Below are 23811 nucleotides of genomic sequence, written 5' to 3'. Positions count from 1 at the left end.
AGGTAAGAAGAAAACACCATTCACTTAGTTTGTAGCTCTTGAACAACATCCCCAACATAGAATACCTAAACTTCCTCAGAGCATAGCTTGAAAACATCTTTTGTAAGTGAAGCATTTTAAATCAATAAGGAAGGCTGTGCAATTCATTAAGGGTACTAGCCATTGGAAATAAAACATTAAACTTTTGCCTTAAATCATATATAAGAATAAATTCCTTATAGAATTAAACATAAGAATCAAACTTCAAAAAGTAGCTGAAGAAAAATTTAAATAATTAATCTTATAACTTTATATAGGAAAAGCTTTTGTAAGCATAGCTCCACAGCCAGAAACCAGAAATAAGGACAAGATAAACAGATATTGAGAGGAAATAAAAATAAAATTAAAATTGACAATTTAGGGGAAAAGGCTAAAATATAAATGAGACAAATTATTAATATCCTTAATAAATACAAGGAGTTATTACTTAGAAATAAGAAAAAGAGGCCCACACTAATAAAAAAATAAGAAAAAGATATAACCAAGATATTCACAAAAGAAGTGCAATGGCTACTAAAAATTTCAAAATGTATTCAACGTCAATAAATAAAACAATGCTGACATACCAAATTTCACACACCTAGTTACTTGTAAGAGTGTGATAAAGGTGCACTTTCAAATACTGCTGATAGAAGAGTAAACTTACATCTTTCTAGCAAGGATTTTGTAATAAATATCAAATGTCTAAAATTTTATCATTTTTAATTTTAAAATTTATTCTATAATCAGATAGACATTAAAAGCCATTTCAGAATTATTTATATGGTGAAAAACTAGATATTCTAAATGTTTATCAATATCAGATGCCACAGACAGCATTTTTAATGCAAAGCCGTTAAAAATGAAGACATAGACCGGAGGTAGTGGTTCACGCCTGTAATCCTAGCACTTTGGGAGGCGGAGGCAGGTGGATTATTTGAGGTCAGGAGTTTGAGACCAGCCTGGCCAACATGGTTAAACCCTGTCTCTTCTAAAAATACAAAAATTAGGCGGGTATGGTGGTGGGTGCCTGTAATCCCAGCTACTCGGGAGGCTGAGACAGGAGAATCACTTGAGCCTGGGAGGTGGAGGTTGCAGTGAGCCAAGATCACACCACTGCACTCCAGCCTGGGAAATAGAATGAGACCCTGTGTCAAAAAAAAAAAAAAAGATATAAACCAATAATTATTGACATAGAAAGATGTACGAAGCAAGTTGCTAGATAAAATATGATTATATCTTCAGAGTAAACTTATTGAAAAAAATCTATCATCCTACTCATCTCAATGATGATCTCATCTCCTCCCCTCTCTAAACACACATACGTGCACACACATAGACACACACATGCTTGCACACGCAGAGATACACCCAAGGGTCTGGAAAGTATACACTAAAAGACCAATACAAGTTATCCATGAGTGGTAAAATTAGGAAAAGTTTCATTTTCCTCTTTGTAGTTGTCTATATTATCTAAATTATTTACGTGTAATAAAAAAGATTTTTACAGACCATTTGTAAGTTCAAATTTCAAATTGGGCAAGAGAAAGTAATTTGGAAATTTTCTAGAAATTAAAAAATGAGCTGTAGCTGGTCATCATAATCAAAGTTTACATAAAGTACAATCTATGATGATTTTTTAAAGTGTCAGAATAAAATACTAGAAAAATGCCTTGAGTTCTTTCCCACATGAAATGCTACTTAAGGACCTACTAAACAGTGTCCTTCCACTACCCTTATCCCTCATGCTTTATGTTATGATGACTTTATAGCTCCCAATAAAAGATAGCACAGACTTTAAGTTTCATTTCATTTAAAATTATTTCTCAGCTAGGTCTTAAGAAAATAGAATGAAACTGTGGTTTGTGGCTTATTTGAGAAAGATAACCTTGAATCTTAAACCTTCTCTGGCATTTTCTTGATCTTCACTAACCATGACCAAGGTAGAATGGTCTCATCTGCAAATTACTAAAAATAATCAGCGCTTAGAAGTGACCTTGGATGAAGCAATGTTAAATTGGTCAGGAAATTTTTTTGAGGCATCACTATTATTAACTCACAATTTTTTCATTTCACTCTGCCACTGATGCTTGGCAGGTTATAATTTTTCATTTTTGCACCTGGATGAAACTCAGTGAAGTAGAGATTATGGAGATAGTGGTGAAGAATTTTTACAATGGGATTTTCCCCTCATTTCATAATATTAGGTTACAAAATGGATCTCTATTTGAGACAACTTATCAGCTGAAGATACATAATCAGACTGTTAAGATAACAGTAATGATCTACAGTATATTTTAAGTTTTTTAAAAGTGCTGCATTCTATTTCGAGAGTTGATGTTATGACCAATTTGTGTACTTGGAAACATTTCCATTAGTGGAGATGGTTTAGGCTGATTATCCTTTTGACATCTTCATGCCTTCATGAGATAGTATGCTGGAGTTAAAGAAAATGACTGTAAAAACAGAAAACACTTCTCTATACGAGATGTCTAGTGACATGGCTTGAAAATAAACTTGTACTACTACTAATGAAGAAGAGCTCATCTTAAACAGGTGGCAACTATGTTTTGTGCATGCTTTCTCCTTCTTTATTTTCATAAGACCAGTTCCAATGCCAGTAGTCAGGTCTGGTGACATGTATCTATACCTATATTCTTTCAGAATCTCCTTTCAGGATGCTACTTACTCCTGACCAGCATATAATAGGCAGTAAATAGATGTAAACTCTCATTCCTTTAAGTAAGAGAGAGTAGAAAATTCCTTTAAAAATCAAGAATGATTCTCTGAAACAGAAGACAATGTTTAAACAGTTAGGATGGAGGCCTAGAGACAAGTCTCTTCTACTCTGCATAAACTAAGAAATGCCCACTTAAGTCTCCAATTCTCTTATCTCAATTCTACCAATAGCATCTAATTGCATGTAGAGCCATGTCTGGTTTGAATACCAAACTAGAAACAAGTACTTCCTAGAAAAACCATTTAATATCCCCAGTGTATCACTCCATATTCCTTAATAAGGAAACTAAATTGCTATTCTCCCCCACAAACATTTGCATTGGGGTATTGGCTCTAACTGTAGAATAAATATTCTGTTCCTCTAAAAATTTATATATTATTTTACCATAGAATATTATGATGCCTTCACAATACAATTTAGATACAAATGAATCTTTTACCTGATCTTTATTTGTCCAACCACTGGCAAAATATATAAACTGACAGAATAGCTGCATAGTTAAGCACTCCCCTTTGAGTGCCTACAATACCTGAGAATTTAACAGATCATATGCTTTTGTAGAACAGCTTATAGTAACATTTTGTTTTAACTAAAGTTCTAGAATAATATGCAAAAATGAAATTAACCATACATCCAGGTGAAGCTGGGCCTCTAGTCTAAATGCATTTTAAAAACAACTGGTAAAAATCTAGTATCGAATATATTCATTTTCTCTATTAATCTGTGAATTTTATTAGAAGAATTTTGAAAGAAGGGTTCATTATATTTCAATAAAAGAAAAATTCTGACCCAAATTTGGAAATCTTTTTGTATCTGTAAAATTATTAAATGTTTAAAGGAAGTCTATATTGTTCTTCTTATATTAGAAGACAACCAAGTGAAATGTCTACCAACTCCAGATCATTTCCTTTGTTCTAAATTGCAGGCTTTTAGAATTTTTTAGAATAAATTGCATGCATAGCATTTCTAGTATTAAGTGAAATAAGCACAAATCTCAATGAGCTATTTTAGTCTTAAGTAGTCAAATAATTAAACTAATATTTTTAATTATTTTTGAAAAGCCATAAATCTTCTCATAAAAAATAGAGTTTGGACAATTATATTTTTATCTGTAAAGTACATTAAGTCAGATCTCCAAAAATAAATATTATCTGTACCTTAAGAAAATGCTAATTTTGATTAACTCCTTTTTTAAAAAAATTTTTGTGTTGTTTTAATTACTGACTGGCATAAGCATAATAAGATGAAAAACATAAATGGTTAAGTTATGGTTAGGTTTTCTTAAGAAAAACATATCATGGACTCTTTGTAGCAACTGGAAAAGACTTATGTAAATTCAGAAACATGGCAGACATTTTCTACATTAGAGTACTCAGGCATACTACCTGGGAGGTGCCAGATACTGTCTCATGTCCTATATGTCCCTTGATGCCTTACAAATTTTATCTTCAACTATCAGAAATCTAAGCATAGCCAAATAGCTCATTCCAATTTGCCTTGTTTCCAAATTGAATACCTCATTCCTTTTACGTTGTCAAAGTTTTCTGAAAGTAGTAATATGAAAGATAAGAGGTTTTTTTTTTTTTCAGATGGAGTATCACTCTGTCACCCAGGATGGAGTGCAGTGGCGTGATCTCAGCTCACTGCAACCTCCACTCCCAGGTTCAAGCAACTCTCTTGCCTCTGCCTCCTGAGTAGCTGAGACTACAGGCGCGCACCACCACGCCTGGATAATTTTTATATTTTTAGTAGAGACGGGGTTTCACCATGTTGGCCAGGCTGGTCTCGAACTTCTGACCTCATGATCCACCCACCTCGGCCTCCCAAATTGCTGGGATTACAGGCATCAGCCACTGTGCCTGGCAAGATTATTTTTTATTCATATCAAGCTTGCTACATAACACCTTGGAAACACAACAGTTAGAAAAGTATAATGTTGCTGAAAATTTGGAAAAATTATTACTCTCCCCTATTAACAGGTTCCCTTATTCAAAATAATGAGGTTTATATACATATATCTGAATAATACATAAATATTCAAATGAAAATAACTGACTAATAAAAATTACACTTTAAAAAATAAAAGATTTGAGGTAATTTAATGACCATAAATAATGTGTGTCATAATGCTATATCAGTATTTATTAGGCCATTGCAACAGAGCTATTAAATGAGAATGATGCCTTTCAAGAGTAGAAGTACTGCAGGTAGTTAGGATAGCAGAAGAAATTTTGTGCAGTTAAAAGAATTAAAAAGTATCACACGAATGTAAATTTGAAGTGAACTATAACTGTTATATTTTCTAACAACAACAAAAAAATTCATTTAGAGCAATGCTTTTTAAGCATGGTTAACCTGAAATTAAGAAAATGTATACTTTGCAAATCAGACAGTATGTCTTATTTAACAGATGACTGCTTTCAGGCTATCATGGGAAAATAATGGGAGGGAAAACACTGGTCTTCAAGCATGCATTAAAGTCTTCTATTTCTGCTCCAGAGGAGAAAAGAGTAACTTTCACTTAAGCTTCTCTATTTTCCTTCTTAACCTATAAAATAAAAAACTAATCCAAGAAAAATAAACTCAACATGATCAAAAAATAGCTCTTACCTATGCAACCTTTAATTCAAAACTATAATAAACTACTGTTAAAAAAGAGAAAAAGAACAGAAAATTATAAACAAGTAAAAGAAATGAGAGAATATATTAAAAATTAATGAAACAAAAAATAGAGAACAGTGGAAAATTCAATGATATCAAAAATTGATTCTTTGAAAGAATTACGTGGAGAACAATAAACTTCTAGCCAGATTAATGAGAGCAAAAAAAGAAAAAAGATATAAATTACCAATATAAGAAATCAGAAATAAGGCATCACTCCAAATGCTACAGCTATTATAATATTAAGAGAATATTATGAAAAATTTTAAGCCAATACATTCTACAACTTAGATGAAATGGAAAAAAATTCCTTTAAAGACACAAACTGCCAAAGCTCATTCAAGAATAAATACATAGCCATTTGTTGTCCTATACCTTTTAAAGAAATTGAATTTGTAGTTAAAACTCTTCCCACAAATAAAAATCCAGACCCAGATGGCTTCACTGGAGAAAATTCCTAAACACTTAAAAAGCAAAGTCTCAAAAATCTACCAGAAAACTGAGAGGAAGGAATATTTCCCAACATTCTATGTGGCCAGCATTAACCTACTACTATCTTAGTATAAGAAAAAAAAGGCCGGGCGCGGTGGCTCACGCCTGTAATCCCAGCACTTTGGAAGGCCGAGGCGGGCGGATCACGAGGTCAGGAGATCGAGACCATCCCGGCTAAAACGGTGAAACCCCGTCTCTACTAAAAATACAAAAAATTAGCCGGGCGTAGTGGCGGGCGCCTGTAGTCCCAGCTACTTGGGAGGCTGAGGCAGGAGAATGGCGTGAACCCGGGAGGCGGAGCTTGCAGTGAGCCGAGATCCCGCCACTGCACTCCAGCCTGAGTGACAGAGCGAGACTCCGTCTCAAAAAAAAAAAAAAAAAAATTGAGACCTATATGCCTATGTAAGTAAATGTAAAAATTAAAATTTTATCCAATACAGGCCGGGCATGGTGGCGGGCGCCTATAATCCCAGCTACTCGGAAGGCTGAGGCTCGAGAATTGTTTGAACCTGGGCAGAGGAGGTTGCAGTGAGCTGAGACTTTGCCACTGCAGTCCAGCCTGGGTGACAGAGCCAGACTCCATATCAAAAAAAAAAAAAAATTATCCAATGGAATCCAAAAATATAATGACCAAGGTGGATTTATCCATTTATCCCAGGGACGCAAGGCTAGCTTAACATTTAAAAAGTAATCAATATAATTCACCATAATAACAGACTGATAAAGAAAAAACATGATCATTTCAATGCATGCAGGAAAATTGTTTACAAAATCCCATATCCATTCACGATAAAATTTCTCAGCCTACTAGGAATAGAAGGATAGGAATAGAGGGAAACTTCCTCAACATGACAAAGGCATTTTAAAAAAACAATGTCCATTTAACATCATAATTAATAGAGAAAGAGTAAATGTTTTCCTCCCAAAATCAGGAAGAACACAGGTTGTTTGATCTTCCAACTTTGATATAACATTACACTGGAGGTTCTAGCCAGAGAATTGTGTGCATGTGTGTTTGGGGAGTGGGAGGAGGGGGAAAAAAATAAAAGACATTCAGATTGGGAAGGAAGAGCCAAAACTGTGTTTATAAATGATCATATAGGACATGATCATCTATTACAGATAATCCAGAAGAATTTACAAAAAATGGCTATTACAAATAAATGATTTTAGTAAGGTGGTAGGATCCAAGATCCACGTATAACACATAAAACTATATTTCTATATGCTGGCAACAAATAATCAGAAATTCGAATTTAGAAAAAAAAGTCATCTGAAATCACATCAAAATTATGAAATATTTAACGATAAATTTGACAAAAGGTGTAGAAGACCTATAAACTGAAAATAAAACATTGCCAAGAGAAATAAAAAAGATACATGTAAACAGAGAGGCACACCTTTTTTCAAGGGTCAGAAGACTCAATAGCATTAAAATGACAATTCTCCCCAAATTGATGTATATATTCAACATATCCTGAAAAAAATCCCAGAAGGATTTTTACAGAAATTTAAAAACTTATTCTAAAATTCACGCAGAAATCCAAATAACCTAGACTAGCCAAAATAACTGAAAACGAAGAACAAATTTGCAGTTGGGCTAACTCTACCTGATTAAAAGACTTACTATAAAGTTATTGTAGTCAAGAAAGTACAGTGTCAGCTTAGAGATAGCCAAATAGATCAATGTAACAAAAGAGAGATTCCAACGAAAGACCCACATATACAGGAACAACTGATTTCTTTACCAATTAAAAAAAAGACAATTTAGTGGAAAATGTATAGTCTTTTCAATAACTGATGCTGAAACAATTAAAAATCCATACACAAAAAGAAAAGGCAAGTTGACCCATAATTTAATACATAAAAAATATTCAAAATGGATCACAGATCTAAACTTAAAACTGTAAAACTTTTAGAATAATACATACAAGAAAAGCTTTGTGTGCTTGGGATAGGGATAGGCAGAGCTGTCTTAGTATAATACCATAAAGGAACACTCTATAAAAGAACAAAGTGGAAAACTGAATTGCATCAAAATTAAATACTTCTGCTATTTAAATGACACTGTTAAAACAATGAAAAGACAAGTCACAGGATAGGAGAATATATTTGCAAATTATGTATCTGATAACTTGTATCCAAAATGTAGGAGGAACCCTTATATCTCAACAACATAAAGAACTTTCAAAACTTAACAAAAACCCAATTGAAAATCTGATAACAGATTTAAACAGACATTTCATCAAAGAAGATGCAATAGTTCCCCTTATCCAGGGAGCACATGTTCCAAGATCCTCAGTGAATGCCTAAAACCACAAATAGTACCAAATCCTACATATACATTTTCCTATATATACATGCCTATAATAAAGTTTAATTTATAAATTAGACACAGTCAGAGATTAACAATTATAACATAAAAAAGATTAATTGTAATAATATACTTTAATAATAGTTCTATGAGTGTATTCTCTCTCTCTCAGAATAACTTACTGTTCTGGACTTACCCTATTTTTTGTTTACTGCAGGTTACTAAAACCATGGAAAGTGAAAGTGAGGATAAGGGTGGACAATTGTAAACAGATGGCAAATAAGCAAATGTAAACATGTTCGACATCAGTAATCATTAGGGAAATGCACATTAAAACCACAAAGGGATACCACTATGCTTCTATTAGAATAGCTAAATATAACCACACCATAGGAAGTGTTAGCAAGATGTGAAGAATGTAGAACTCTCATACACTGCAGACCGGGATGTAAATGCACATCCACTTTGGAAAATAGTTTGATAGTTCATTTAAAAGATAAACATATATATTATATATATATGTTTATATATAGTTTATCTTTTAAAGAAACTATAATATATACATATTATGCAATCCTGCCATTCCCCTTATTTTCTCAAGAGAAATAAAAGCACAGGTCTATACACAGTCTTATACATGAATGTTCGTAGCAGCTTTATTTGTAAGAGCCAAAAACTGGAAAATCTCAAATGTTTATTAACAAGGAAAAAGAATTAACAAATTGAAGCTTACTAAAGCTTATCTATACAATGGAATACTACTCCACAAAAATATTTTTAAACATAAATGATTAATACACAATGATATGCATGAATCTCAAAACTGTGATTAAAGAAGCCATAAAGAGCATATACCAAATGATTTAATTTATATAAAATCACAGAAACGAAAACTAATATATAATGAAAGAAAGCAGATCACTGGTTGCCTAGGAACTAGGGGAAGGGCAAGAGGTAAGGACTACAAAGAGGCATCAGGAAACTCTTGGGGATGAGGTACATGTTTACTATATTGATTGTGGTGATAATATCACACATATAAACATATGTCAAAACTTCATAAATTGTATACTTTAAATATATGCCCTTTCCTGTATATCAATTATACTTCATTAAAGCTGTTAAAAATTGAAAAAACAGAAATAAGCATTCTAAAATGTTAGGATTCACTAATTTTCACTTGAACCATTTAACTATTTAACCTGAACCATGTTTGTACTGAAAATATTTTGCTAATTTGAATTCCAAAGATATCACTTATCAGGTATATCTTTCAGTTTTTTACATTAACAACTCTAGTACTGACAAGCATTAGAATTAAATATATTGTCACATATTTTAGTCTAAGTCCTCTAATTCAAAATTATCACAAGCAATTAACAATAAATTGAACTACCATTTATTCATTCAAAAGATATTTATTAAGTCAGTCTGCGCCAGCTTCAAAAGATAAAAAGATAAATAAGACTGAGTCTCCACCATCAAGAAGTCATGCTCTACTAGGGAAGACAGACATTTATGAAGATAATTTTCAAAAGATGTGGCAATTGCAATAATAGATAAACGTAGAAGTGTTTTCAGGCATAACATGACCATGGAGGAAGTATACCTAATGAATCTGGGGCAAGAAATACAATAAAGGATAAGTAATGAAAGGTTTCTTTTCGCTTCTTCTTTTTAAATAGAGATCATATCTTGCTATGTTGCCCAGGCTGGTTTTAAACTCCTGGGTTCAAGCCAGGAGTTTAATCCTTGGCCTCCCAAAGTGCTGGAATTATAGGTTTGAGCCACTGCACCCAGCTGTGAAAGTTTTCCAGAGGAAAATCTTCTAAGCTAAGTATAAAGTAAGTAGCAATATTATAATATCAGGAAGACAACAAGTTCTTCCTCTGACCCCAGTGACACAAGTTCCAGGACTACACAAATTTTAATATGAATATGAAGGTGAATATATAAGAATGATACCCCTGTAGAAATAAAAAAAAGAAATGATTCTGAAAAGTATTACCTATTTGCATATCATCTACGCCTCCAAGATATTAAAATGTTTTGGCAAAATAACTGATGGGCAAATGCTACAAGACTCTAGTTAGGAATTTAAAGGTAAAGGTTTTTGTAATGAGCTTTAAATGTAATTACACATTTTTACTGATAAGCAAGTAATGGAACAAGTAAATTATGGGGTTAGGACAGAGAAGGTATCAGGATGCTGGCTGTGTTATTATTTTTATCACTTACAATGAATTATGCATTAATGAACACATTCAGTCTAGATCTTATTGCTGATACGTTCGTGTTTAACTTGTTGGAGTGTTATACCCCACAAGGAGTTCCACAAAAATTACGGAGGTTATAAAGGTAAATAAATAGTTTTGTAACTGTTCTAACACAACTTGAGTTCACTGTTATTTAATTATTCTATTATTTCAGTACCCATCAGAATAATAAGCTGTTGGTCATCTCATCAAGGTCAAGGGTAGCAGTAAGATGGAAACTTTAGATTTTAAAACACTCTTAACTGAGGGTTCTTAAAAGAGTAATAATTCCAACCCCTTGAGTACTAAACAGATAGTAACATATATATGGCCAAATCCTTCTCTTTATCCAATTCTTACATATATATATATATATATATAATATATAAATATATACATACATATAGACACAGACACACACCATAAGCTGGCATCAATGAATACATATCTTTAACATTCAGAAAGAATTCACTGTCCTATAATCTGGGCAAAGGAAAAGTGAACCCCTAGAGTTATGACCACAAAAGTATCTAAGAAATGAGCCAAAAATATTACCAACATCTAATGTCAACACAAAGATAGCCAAAATACTAATGGAAGTTACATTTTCTCCTTAGCATATTCAGTGCTTTAAGACATGTCTAGGGTATTCATAGTAAATCAAACAAAAACAATTTCAAGGCAATAGAGATAGTATGTGCACAGACTGAGCTGGGAAATAGTGACGGATGCTCAATGAGGTCACAGAACAAATCAACACAGCTGCCCTACTGACTGTTCACTAGCCACCCTGGAAGAGCCAGAGGTGCCCCACCTAGCACAGCTGCCAAACCAAACTTCAGCTGTGCTGAAGTTCAAGAGCACAGTCATACAATCAAAAAATTTTAGCTGGAAAGGCCTAGGAGGTCATAGAGTTCAGTGTATACAGATCCATAGGTTGCTGCTGCATTTCAATGGCTGTATGAACATCCTGAAATTATATACAAAGTTTTCTGTATGCATGCATAAGAACTACTGATCTAATCCTGTCATTCATTTAATGGATGGGGAAACAGTTCCACTGAAATTGAATTACAGCTCAATAGTACTAAATTAGAAGTAGAATCTTTTGAGTCTCAGCTATTTTTTTCATTTTTGCTATCACACCAAGAAGTCTATTAAGTACTAAAAATTTTAACTGCAACAGAAAAAGACATACAGCTGGATTCAGTATCCCCTGTGAACCTCTCAAAAAGCTCTCTCCACGAGTCCATTTACATTGCCCTTCGTTGGGAAAGTTCCAACATAACCTGTGTGATATATGTGTTCTGGCAGCCTTGTAATTGAAACAATATCCAAAACAAGTAGCTCATGCCCTTGTGGTATGTGAGAAACCAAAAGTAGTCTGCCACAATACTCAGGGAGAAATGAGAGGACATAAAAAGGTTTGGGAATAAACGTGTTCAAGAACAGGGCTATGTAGTTACTTACAGAGCCTAGTAAATACTTGATGCCCATTAAATGTTTTTTGAACTGAATTGAACTGGTATATAAGCCGTCTAACAAATCATTCCCAAATGAGGAAGAATTGTTGCTCAAGAATTGCCTCCCTTATGAATGCAGTAAGGCTGTTTTTTTTTTTTTTTTTTGGTTTGTTAATATAAGCTTTCCTTAAGCAACTCTACACATATTGCTGAATCCTTCATTTATTCTAAAATGGCTCTGAATTTACAAATAGATGGCAGGACTTTTATATGCTCAATAAATAATGGAGACTTTCTCTCAGTGTTGCTGTTATTTAAAAAAATTTCTCCAGTAGATATTTTGGCTAATGAATAAGAATCTCTCATCAAATTAATAACACTATTACATTCACTTTCAGATGGTTTAACAGTGGTCTTTGGGGTATAATAACATATTGCTGACTTGGGCAAGCTGCCACTGGACTGAATATAAATTTGCACAAAGCAAATTCTCCATCTGAAAATTCCATAATTACCTCAAACTGATCATGCCCCAATCTAAATAAAGTGCTTTCTCCTGCAAACCCTGCTTCTTTTCCCATATTGCCTATTGTGATTAGCAGCATTAAAATCTATCCCTCCAACGTAAAAAGCTTATTGAACTGTCCTCTCCATTGCCTAAAACATCCAATGAATAATTCAATCAAATTAAATATATCTCATAAATACCAACTCATACCTTCCTCTTTTTCTTATGGCTATTACCTTGCTATAAGCCCTTGTCACCTTCTGCCTGAACTAAAAACTCCCTACTTCTTTTTTTTTTTTAATACTTTAAGTTCTAGGGTACATGTGCACAACGTGCAGGTTTGTTACATATGTATACATGTGCCATGCTGGTGTGCTGCACTCATTAACTTGTCACTTACATTACTTATATCTCCTAATGCTATCCCTCCTCCCTCCCCCCACCCCAGGACAGGCCCCGGTGTGTGATGTTCCCCATCCCGTGTCCAAGTGTTCTCATTGTTCAATTCCCACCTATGAGTGAGAACATGCGGTGTTTGAAAACTCCCCCTACTTCTAGCTGCTCCCCCATTACAGTTTTTCCTTAATATGACATTAGAATCAATGTTGTAAAAAGCAAATCTGATTATTTCTCACCTCCTGCTTAAAACCTGTCAGTGACTTCCTACTGCATTCAAGTAAACCCTTATTTTCCCTTTAAAATAAGAGTCTTTTGGTTCTCATCTCCAAGCGACACCTAACATTTCCCAACAGGCTCCTTAAACCTCCTGCCTTAAAGTCTTAAAGTTTCCCCAAGTGCAACCTGATTTTATTATTCCCTTAAATTTGAGCACATACTCTACCCAATCCATGAAATACTCTCCCTAATACTTTCTCCACCTGGCATAGAAGATAACCTTCCTGCAAGGCTTAAAAGCACTTCAAAGGCTGCAAAAAAACTTTTTGTCAGACACATATGAAGTTGACTGTTTGATCTCTAATCCGGCACACCTTGTTCGTATCTCTATCACAGCACTTTTCAAACAATATTTTAATTATCTGTTTAGTTGTTCATCTCTATCATTAGAATCTGATCTCTTCAAGGGCATAGACTACATTAAATTTATTTTTGTGCCCATAGCACCTAACAAAATACTTAATACATAATAAACATATTGATTGAGAAAATAAGGAAATGAATGAATGAAAAGATATGTAAGAGCTAGGTTCCCTCTTCTGTTGTATATGTAATTGGTTCAATCACATGAATTTTTTTCCCTTTTACTTTCTAGGCCTTTCAGAATATATTTGTTCCTAACTACTCTAGATCCATTTAAAGAAAATTCATTGTATTAATTTGCCAGGGCTGCCATAACAAACTACCACAGACTGTGTGGCTTAAAAAACAGAAATTTATTTTCTCATAATGGAATTTAGAAGTCTATTATCAGCGTGGTTCCTTCTGAGGACTATGGGGAATAACTTACATTGAATTTGTTACAGAAATAACATGAGCATTTATTTAAAATGAAGAAATTAATATAAATTCAGGTTTCTCTCCTTGACTAGATGGCTGTCTTCTTCCTGTATCTTTATATAATCATGCCTATGTCTGTGTCTATATGCAAATTTATTCTTTCAGTAAGAACACCAGTCATATTAGATTAGTGTCCACTCTAATGACATCATTTTAACATTATCACTTCTAAAAATACCTTGTATCCAAATCGGGTTACATTCTGAAGTACTGGATATCAAGATTTCGACATGAATTTTTTGGGAGAGAACATAATCCAGCCCATAACACCTATCCTCACTCAAATAAAAAAGCTGGGTTCTAGTTATGTTTTTGAAAGTTTTCAGAATGTTTCTACATAATGATCCAGATTTTTCAGAATATTTTCTATTACCTATAAAACACTGTATAAGAAAAAATCCTTAAAGTCTCTAACAGTGGTTTTGAAACCCAATCCTTGCACTACAGTCAGCAGTAAGAAATGGAGCTAAAGAAGAATAACTGAATTGATTTTAGTCCAGGCTCAGGCATTAACCTTTGAATTTGCCCTGGGCACAATGGTTAAATAACTGGTGCTTCAGTTCTTCACTTGAAAAGGAAAGTGGTCAGACTGACTCCCTCTGCAATTTCATAAGATCAAAATCTCTGATTCTATGTTGTCTTATTTTGTCTTAGTAATGAGCACTGTTGGAAGTGATCTAGAAATAATACAAGAGCATTTATTTAAATGAAGAAATTAATATACATTCTGTTGCATTTGGAAATGTTTACACAGCTGAAAACCATAGACCTTCCAGACTCTTAAATAAATTTCATCCACTCTCTGAAGACACTGTTTTTGGAGTTGTAAATGCATGTGGATGTTGCTTTCAGCACACACACACACACAAAATACCTATAGTAGGTGTCCCTCATGGCAGTATCTTATGCTACTCCAAAATTATATTCATCAAGGTTAAATATTCCAGCAGTCTTTGTTTTCCAAAAATTTAGTGCTAGAAAAAACCGATCACAACAGGTTATAGGATTTATGTGTTAATTTATAAAAATTCTCATTGAATTCTATAATTCAAAGCATCTAATTGTGCACCCAGTAAATGGTGTCCAGATTCTCTGAACTAATCAATTTGTTTTTCTTTTTTTCTTTTTTTTTTTTGAGACGGAGTCTTGCTGTTGTTGCCTGGGCTAGAGTGCAATGATGCGATCTTGGCTCACCGCAACCTCCATCAACTGGGTTCCAGCAATTCTCCTGCCTCAGCCTCCCAAGCAGCTGAGATTACAGGCACCCGCCACCACACCCGGCTAATTTTTGTATTTTTAATAGTGACAGAGTTTCACCATGTTGGCCAGGCTGGTCTTGAACTCCTTACCTCAGGTGATCCACCCACCTTGGCCTCCTAAAGTGCTGGGATTACAGGCATGAGCCACCGTGCCTGGCCTGAACTAATCAATTTTAAAGTCACACATCACTGTATCTATTTTTTAAATACATCAAGAGCAAGAGAATCAAGACAATAAAATCATCTTTATTGATAGAGAAAAAATAAACATTCATTTGAAAAAGTTCATTTCTCTTGACAAAAGTGGTTTTATCATTTAACTACAGGATGTAATAAACAAAAGTTTTGGGAAAACGTTGATAGACAATGATTCATATAAGCACTTCCTTTGAGAAGTAATCATGAAATATTAGAACATAAGACTATATGATATGATATGTTAGGAAAATTTGATGCGACATCAATGTTGGAAAAAAATGGCAATATTTCAGAAGATAATTTAAGACATAACGAATTCCTTTGATGGCTCATCCATTTTAAATTACCAGCTGAGACTAATTCTTGAGGAAACTAGCTATATACTAAATTGAATTAATTTATTTAAACATAGAGTTGACAATGGAGCACAAGTAAGCTGACATCAAACACTTGGCAATAATAAAGATAAATTATTCACAGAGTACTATCAATATAAAATACTTCCAAAGAGTATTAAACACGATTTGTTTAAAAAAATAACTATGTAAATGAACAGCTTGAGAGTAAGTGGAAGCTTTGACTACTCAACACTTCCATGAACTACAATTTTTGCTCAGACTACTGCTTTTCTGGATGGTCAAAAGACACTGTGGATTATGAGGAAGATGGCTATATAATCATGGCCTGCAGTTATAAGATTCAGTAATTTATATAATGGTAAAAATGATACAGGATTGAATAGAGAACACCAGCAATATTAATACAGGTCATGGTGATCTGAGGTTCATAGTGTACTTTCAGAGAGCATAGTGTTCACCCCAAATTGATAAAGTAATTCTTCCATTTAAGTAATTTCTTGAAGGATTGTGTCCCAATGTTCTCTCTCATATGGTGATTCACTTATGGCTAAGTTCTCCCAGAGAATGGTTTACTCATTCTTGCTGACAATAGCTCTGGATAAGTATTTTATACACATATAAAATACTCTTAAAGTATGTTATCTCTCATTTTCATCCCATAATTCAAACCCCGTTATAAGTTTTAATTAAAATTGATGGTGGTACTAAATATTTTATAAGCATGAGTCTAAATACAAAGAGATCAACTGGCCAGCTTATCTTGCTAGTCATGAAATAGAAACCCACCAACTTCTCCTTCACCCAATAAAATACCCAAAGGCTTTCAAAGGAGCGCTCTTTGAATAGAAAGGCTCTTCCCACCTAAGAGGAAATGAAATCACCCCTACTTGTTTACTTCATTCCATTGTTTTCAATTCATCTAAGATTTTTCTCCTCTACACGCTCCATTTGTTTTGAAAGCTATACACTGCCGCTTTCATTTAAAATTGAAACCAGGAGTTCTTGACTTTTTAAAAAAAGATCTTTATTGAGATCTAATTCACATACAACACAATTCACCCATTAAAAGTCTATGATTCAGTGGTTTTTAGTATATTCACATGGTTGCAAAAATCATCACAATTTTAAAACATTTTCATTCTTTCAAAAAGAAACCCCATGCCCATTAACAGTCATTCCCATTCTCCTTTCTCCTTCCCCTAGGAAATCAATAATCTACTTTCTGTCTCTGTACATTTACCAATTCTGGACATTTTATATAAATGGAAATCACACAACATGTAATCTTTTGTGGCTATTTTTTCCAGGTACCATGTTTTTAAGGTTCATTTGTGTTGTAATACGTATCAATACTTCATTTTTTATTGCCAAGTAATATTCCATTGTACAGATATACCACTATTTTATTTATCCTTGCATTCATCAGTTGATGGACAATTGTGTTGTTTTCATCTTTTGGCTATTATTAATAATGCTGCTATGAATGTTCATGTACAAGACTTTGTGAGGACATATGTTTTCATTTCTTTTTTCATATATAGCTAGCAATGGAATATCAGGTTCATATGGTATGTCTTTTTAACGATTTGAGAAATTGCCCAACTGTTTTCCAAAACAGCTGGACCAGTTTATATTCCCCTCTCTACATAGAAGCGTTCCCATTTCTCTACAACTTCACCAATACTTGCTGATGCATATAAGGGTTACTTATAAGGGTTACATATAAGGGTACGATACTTGCTACATATAAGGATTCCCATTTCTCTACAACTTCACCAATATTATCTGACTTTTTGCCACCCCAGTGGGTGTAGTCTCTCACTGTGGCTTTGATATGCAATTCCCTGATGTGTAATGATGTTAAGCACCTTTTCATGTGCTTATTAGCCATATGCATGTCTTCTTCTTCTGAGAAATGTCTACTCTGATTCTTTTTTTTATTTCATTTTAGTCTGAGTTCTAAGAGTCCTTAATATATTTTAGATACAAGTCCCTTCTTAAAGATATAATTTGCTAACATTTTATCTCATGCTATGGGTCACCTCCACATTTTTTATTGTATAATTTGCAAAACAAAACATGTTTATTTTGATGAACTCTAATTTATCTATTCTCTCTTTTGTTGTTTGTGCTATTGATGTCATATTTAAGAAACCATCACAGAGCCCAAGGTCATGAAGATATATTCATAAATTTTCTTCTAAGAGGTTTTATAGCTTTAGCTCTTATATTCAGGCTTATGGTCCATTTTGAGTTCGTTTTTGTATATAGTAGGAAGTAAGAATAAAACTTCATTCTCTGCATGTTGATATCTACTTGCCTCAGCACCATTAGCTAAAAAGACTCTTCTTTCCTCATTAAATTGTTTTGGCACCATTGTCAAAAAGCAACTCACCATAAATCTGAGTTTAATAATATAGAATTTAAGAAAAAAATATTGCCTGAAAAATTTCCAAGATATCATATTATCATAATCTGATAAGATTTAGCCAGCAACCAGCAATGAGGTAGAGAAATGGCTGACCAATATCCAGAGTACAGATACAATGTGGCAATGAAATGCACACTTTATCCACATCGATATCAATACCAATGGTGATAACATGTTAGAAAGGGGAGTATGCTGCAATCTCACAACTGGGCAATGGTATCATGTGTTTATAAGCCGTTTTATGACCAAAGCTCAAATAGGTGGCTATGGAAAGATTTTAGATGATCTAGTTTAAAAATGTATGAGGAGTAGCTTCCAAAGGTTAGGGGGGGTGTCTGTGGCTGTGAATGGCAGGAATTAAGCAGGATATGAGAACCGCTTATTTAGTAGGCTGATTTAGTACAGGGTTTAGATCCAATAGAGGTTGTGAAACAAGGAATGAAGGTGGAAGCCAAGTCATGCAGACAAAGTGAATATGACAAAATTTGGAGGAATTCCATGAGATTGTGAAAAAAAACAGTCAACTAAGAACTTATCCCAGATAGCCAAGATATGAAATTGAGAAGTCTTCCTTTCTTGGTTAAAAAGAGAGTTTTTACATACTGCATCCTTAGTAAGGACTAGTTTATGGATTTGTGAAGTCTTGTACAGCACATTAAAAGCATCAGTGCCTACAACTAAGAAGTATTAACTGAAACCTTGTGCTCAGGCACTCTATCCTAGGCATTATCTCAGTTGCTTTATATATATTATTTCACTTAATTTTCATGAACACCATAAGAGGTTAATCCTATCATATTCTTATTAGAGGTGACAAAACTGAGATCTAAAAAAGTTAAATATCTTATCCAAGCAGTTAAATAAAACAGCTGAATCTGGATTTAAAACCAGATCAAGCTGACTTCAAATTATGTGGTCTTTGATTACAGCAGTGATGAAGAAAACTGCATTAGGACCAAGCTTAGTGTTTTATGTAAAGTAATATATAAGCAGTATATGACTTTGGTGCTAAAGGCAGGAGAATGATAATATTTCTAATCTTCAGTGATTATTAATATTACTAAACTTCTGAGCTATCTCCAATTTATTCTTCTCCCAATGTATCGTCTCTACCTGACATCCATCTCATTTCCATTTAACTCTCACAGATCTATTTCAGTTCATCATTACTCATAAACTTGACAATTTTAATGTCTTCCAAACTAATCTTTTTATATATTGGCTCTTGCTACGTAAATCCTGGTGACTACTGCAAAACTATCCCGAAATGCAGCTCTGATCATGGCATCTCTATGCTCAAAAACAGATAATCTCTCTATTTATGTCACCAAATCAAATACATCTAATTGGCCTTTGCATTCCAGCACCTCCACAATATAGCCATTGCTTCCCATTCTAGCATAGACACGTCTACCTGCCTACAAGCAATCTGTACTACTTACTATTGTTAAAAAAAAAAAAAACACTCTTACTCCATGCTTTCTAAACTTAATGCCTTTATTAATTATTTTCTCTGGGACTGGAATGCCTCCCTCATCTACCTGCTGAAATCCAATCCATATCAAATGCCACTTCTTCCATGAAAACTATCCCACTTTCCTCAACATAGTTGCTCTCTCTGTTAACTATTTTATAATTTTTCTTGTATACTTCACGTGACATCAAAGTATTCTAGGTTTGTGGACTCAACTAATCTCCTCTTCTAGACTTCATGCTCTATTAGACCAAAGCCCAAGTATTACTTTTCTCTGAATTCCATGAATACCTAGGAGATTCTTTGAAATAATGGGCATTAATAATAATTATTGAACTAAATTATTGAAGTCAAATAAGTACAGTGATGTATTAATTAGAGACATCTAGGTTGCAAATGACATATGATCCATCTAGCTTAGACAAAGAATTGGCTTTGGCTCATATGAACAAACTATGGAAAAGAATGATAGAGCTAGCCTCCAGAATGACACAAATACTGCCAGGACTTTCTATGTTTCTCCTTTGGGTTGGTACTATTTGTAACTATTACATACTGATTTTGTCTATGCTACCAGAGACACAGCCACCAACAGCTTATCAGCTTCCATCGTCTAAGCATCAGGACCAGAGAGAAATTTGCAACATCTACCATTCCCTAGCACCTGTTTAAAAAAACACCAAAAAAGGCCTCTGATAGACACAGCTTGGATCATGAATTAATGACTATGGCCAAAAGTTGGGCATAAGAAGGTGGCAGCTCTTGTTTAGGCCACATGGATAAACCTAGGTATTCATATGTATGTGGTTTTTGGAGTGCTGGTTTTCTCAGAAAATGAGAGAAGGAGTATTATATGGACAGAACATCTAATGTCCACCACAAGTGGCTAAAAATTTCAGTGATATAACTAATTAACTATTGTATAGTCAAGTTTAAAAAGAAAAAAGGAAAGGGGACTTCTAATTTCTTACCCAGCATGTAAGGAGCTTAGAAGTCACCACTCCATCCTAACAAAGAGTAAAAAGCAGAACAAACTGAAAAATCAACAACTCCTCTTAGATCCATCAGAGAAGTGACATCACATGCATGGCAAAATTCTGCCCCCAAAAGCGGAGAGAAAGACAGGTACATATGGAAAACCGCAATTTACCAGAGTGGAAATTCACACGCAGAAACTTCCCCAAGAACTAGTGGAGTAGGAAAACCTAAAGCGTAATTGACAAATTTTAAGAGGGTCAATGTGGACAAGTTTGAGGTTTTAAAAGCACTAGGGGGACCCAGCCATCGAGGGGCCCCATACATTTTAATGGAGCTCTATCAGGGTCTCACAGTGAAAACTGAAGAAAAACCTGCTCATGCTCCAAGAGGGAGAAGAAAAGGAATGATTTTGAAATACGCTAGATAGAGCATTCTGCTCTTCTCAACAATGTATATCCTTAGGAGAAACTATTTAACCAGAGCCTAACCTCTGAGGTTTTATCAGAGCCTAACTGACCTGGGAGAAGGGAAATAACCACTTTCAGTACCCTGTAGCCCTCCATGTGGGAAAAGGGAAATACTCAATTCCAGGTGTCTCCAGGCATCCTATCCCACTTAAGAGGAAGTGGGAGGAACTGAGAAGCACTTGGGTACATACCCAGTAATGGGACTGCTGAGTTGAATGGTAGTTCTGTTTTTAGGTCTTTGAGTAATCACCCCTATTCAATAAATGGTGCTGGGATAATTGGCTAGCCATATGCAGAAGATTCAAACTGGACACCTTCCTTAAATCATATACAAAAATCAACTCAAGATGGATCAAAGACTTAAATATAAAACCCAAAACTATAAAACCCTGGAAGACGACCTAGGCAATACCATTCTAGACACAGGAACGGGCATGCATATGTTTATTACAGCATTATTTCATGAACACATGCATGCATTTGTTCACTACAGCACTATTCACAATAGCAAAAGACATAGAATCAAAATAAGTGACCACCAATGGTAGACTGGATAAATAAAATGTAGTATATATACACCATGAAATGCTATGCAGCCATGAAAAATAACAAGATCATGTCCTTTGCAGGAAAATGAATGGAGCTGGAGATCATTATCTTTAACAAACTAATGCAGGAACAGAAAACCAAATATCTCATATTCTCATTTATAAGTGGGAACTAAATGATGAGAACATATGAACACATAGAGGGAAACAACACACACTGGGGCCTATCAGAGAGAGGGGGGTGGGTGGAGGAGGAAGATTCGAAAAAAAAAATAATGGGTACTAGGCTTAATACCTGGGTGACAAAATAATCTGTAAAACAAACCCCCATGACACAAGTTTACCTATATAACAAACCTGTACATGTACCCCTAAACTTGAAGGTTTTTAAAAACTTGCATAGTATTTGCATAGAACCTATGCACATCCTCCCATATACTTTAAATCATCAGTAGATTACTTATAATACCTCATGCAATGTAAATGCTAAGTGAATAGTTGCTATACTTCATTTTTAGGTTTATATTATTTTTTATTATTTTTCCTCTGAATATTTTTGATTCACTATTGAATGAATACAAAGATGCAGAACCTGTGGCTATGGAAGGCCAATTGTATACTTGATTAATTCTTTAAATATGAAAGGGTATATTATAATGGAGAACTGTGTTCTATATTTTTGGGACCCCAATTATTTACGGCTCCATTGCAATGTCCTAATGTTAGAATATTCATTTCTACTCTTTACAATAATAAATGACACAACTACCGGCTAAGCAAATACTGCCTATAGGAGCTATACCATAATGTAAATCACACTCGACACATTAAATCCGTCAGCAAATACTGCCTATAGGAGCTATACCATAATGTAAATCACACTCGACACATTAAATCCATCAGCAAATACTGCCTATAGGAGCTATACCATAATGTAAATCACACTCGACACATTAAATCCGTCAGCAAATACTGCCTATAGGAGCTATACCATAATGTAAATCACACTCGACACATTAAATCCGTCAGCAAATACTGCCTATAGGAGCTATACCATAATGTAAATCACACTCGACACATTAAATCCGTCAGCAAATACTGCCTATAGGAGCTATACCATAATGCAAATCACACTCGACACATTAAATCCGTCAGCAAATACTGCCTATAGGAGCTATACCATAATGCAAATCACACTCGACACATTAAATCCGTCAGCAAATACTGCCTATAGGAGCTATACCATAATGCAAATCACACTCGACACATTAAATCCGTCAGCAAATACTGCCTATAGGAGCTATACCATAATGTAAATCACACTCGACACATTAAATCCGTCAGCAAATACTGCCTATAGGAGCTATACCATAATGCAAAACACACTCGACACATTAAATCCGTCAGCAAATACTGCCTATAGGAGCTATACCATAATGTAAATCACACTCGACACATTAAATCCGTCAGCAAATACTGCCTATAGGAGCTATACCATAATGTAAATCACACTCGACACATTAAATCCGTCAGCAAATACTGCCTATAGGAGCTATACCATAATGTAAATCACACTCGACACATTAAATCCGTCATCTCATGTATTTTTCTCTTTGCAGTCTGTGACAATCGTTACTCTCTTTGTAAGAATAGAAAACTGAGGCTCAGAGAAATCATGCCATGCCAAACATCTGTAGCCTGTTCTACTGGCTATTATCTCTGAGGTACATAGCTCTATTACCAAAAATGTCTTTATTGTTTTTTTCTAGTCTCAGGTACCTTCTTGTCCTATTATTTTTACTGATATTTTTTGCTTTTATACTACTACACCTGGGCTTTTATAGCCTCTGCCTAAACAGAAAGTGCTTCTTGTCTTTTGATGAACAAATCAGTCCATCTATTTTCATGTATTTTTTGCTCAGAGCCTTTTGCTTCATTCACTTTTCTCCTCATTCTCCTTTTTAAATTCCAACTTAAGTATTCGAGTTAAGATTTACATTATTTCAGATGGTTGAGGCTGCCAAAGAAGGCTGATCCTTAGTTATCTGGAAGTTACTTTACATTCTGATTATACTTTATTCCTTACTTTTGTGATTTTATATTTAAGGGATACTTACTTTGCACAATGATA

The 23811-nt window shown here is 34.3% G+C and overlaps 1 protein-coding gene across 7 annotated transcripts in view, besides 1 other annotated feature; it reads right to left on the bottom strand.

Annotated features, from left to right (window-relative positions):
* Positions 1–23811, bottom strand: part of NAALADL2 (N-acetylated alpha-linked acidic dipeptidase like 2) — a 1369567-nt gene that overhangs the window by 1303177 nt on the left and 42579 nt on the right. The gene's annotated exons all lie outside the window — the stretch shown is intronic.
* Positions 6166–6667: an enhancer, noted in NCBI's record as "H3K4me1 hESC enhancer chr3:174218495-174218996 (GRCh37/hg19 assembly coordinates)". NCBI's record gives its function as "activates a minimal SCP1, AML or CMV promoter by ChIP-STARR-seq in naive H9 embryonic stem cells {active_cell/tissue: H9 hESC(naive)}" and the evidence as "EXISTENCE:reporter gene assay evidence [ECO:0000049][PMID:30033119]".

Source organism: Homo sapiens, chromosome 3, assembly GCF_000001405.40.
Source record: "Homo sapiens chromosome 3, GRCh38.p14 Primary Assembly".
Lineage (NCBI taxonomy): Eukaryota > Metazoa > Chordata > Mammalia > Primates > Hominidae > Homo > Homo sapiens.
Note: the sequence above shows the minus strand (reverse complement) of the source record. Positions and strands in the feature narration are given on the sequence as shown.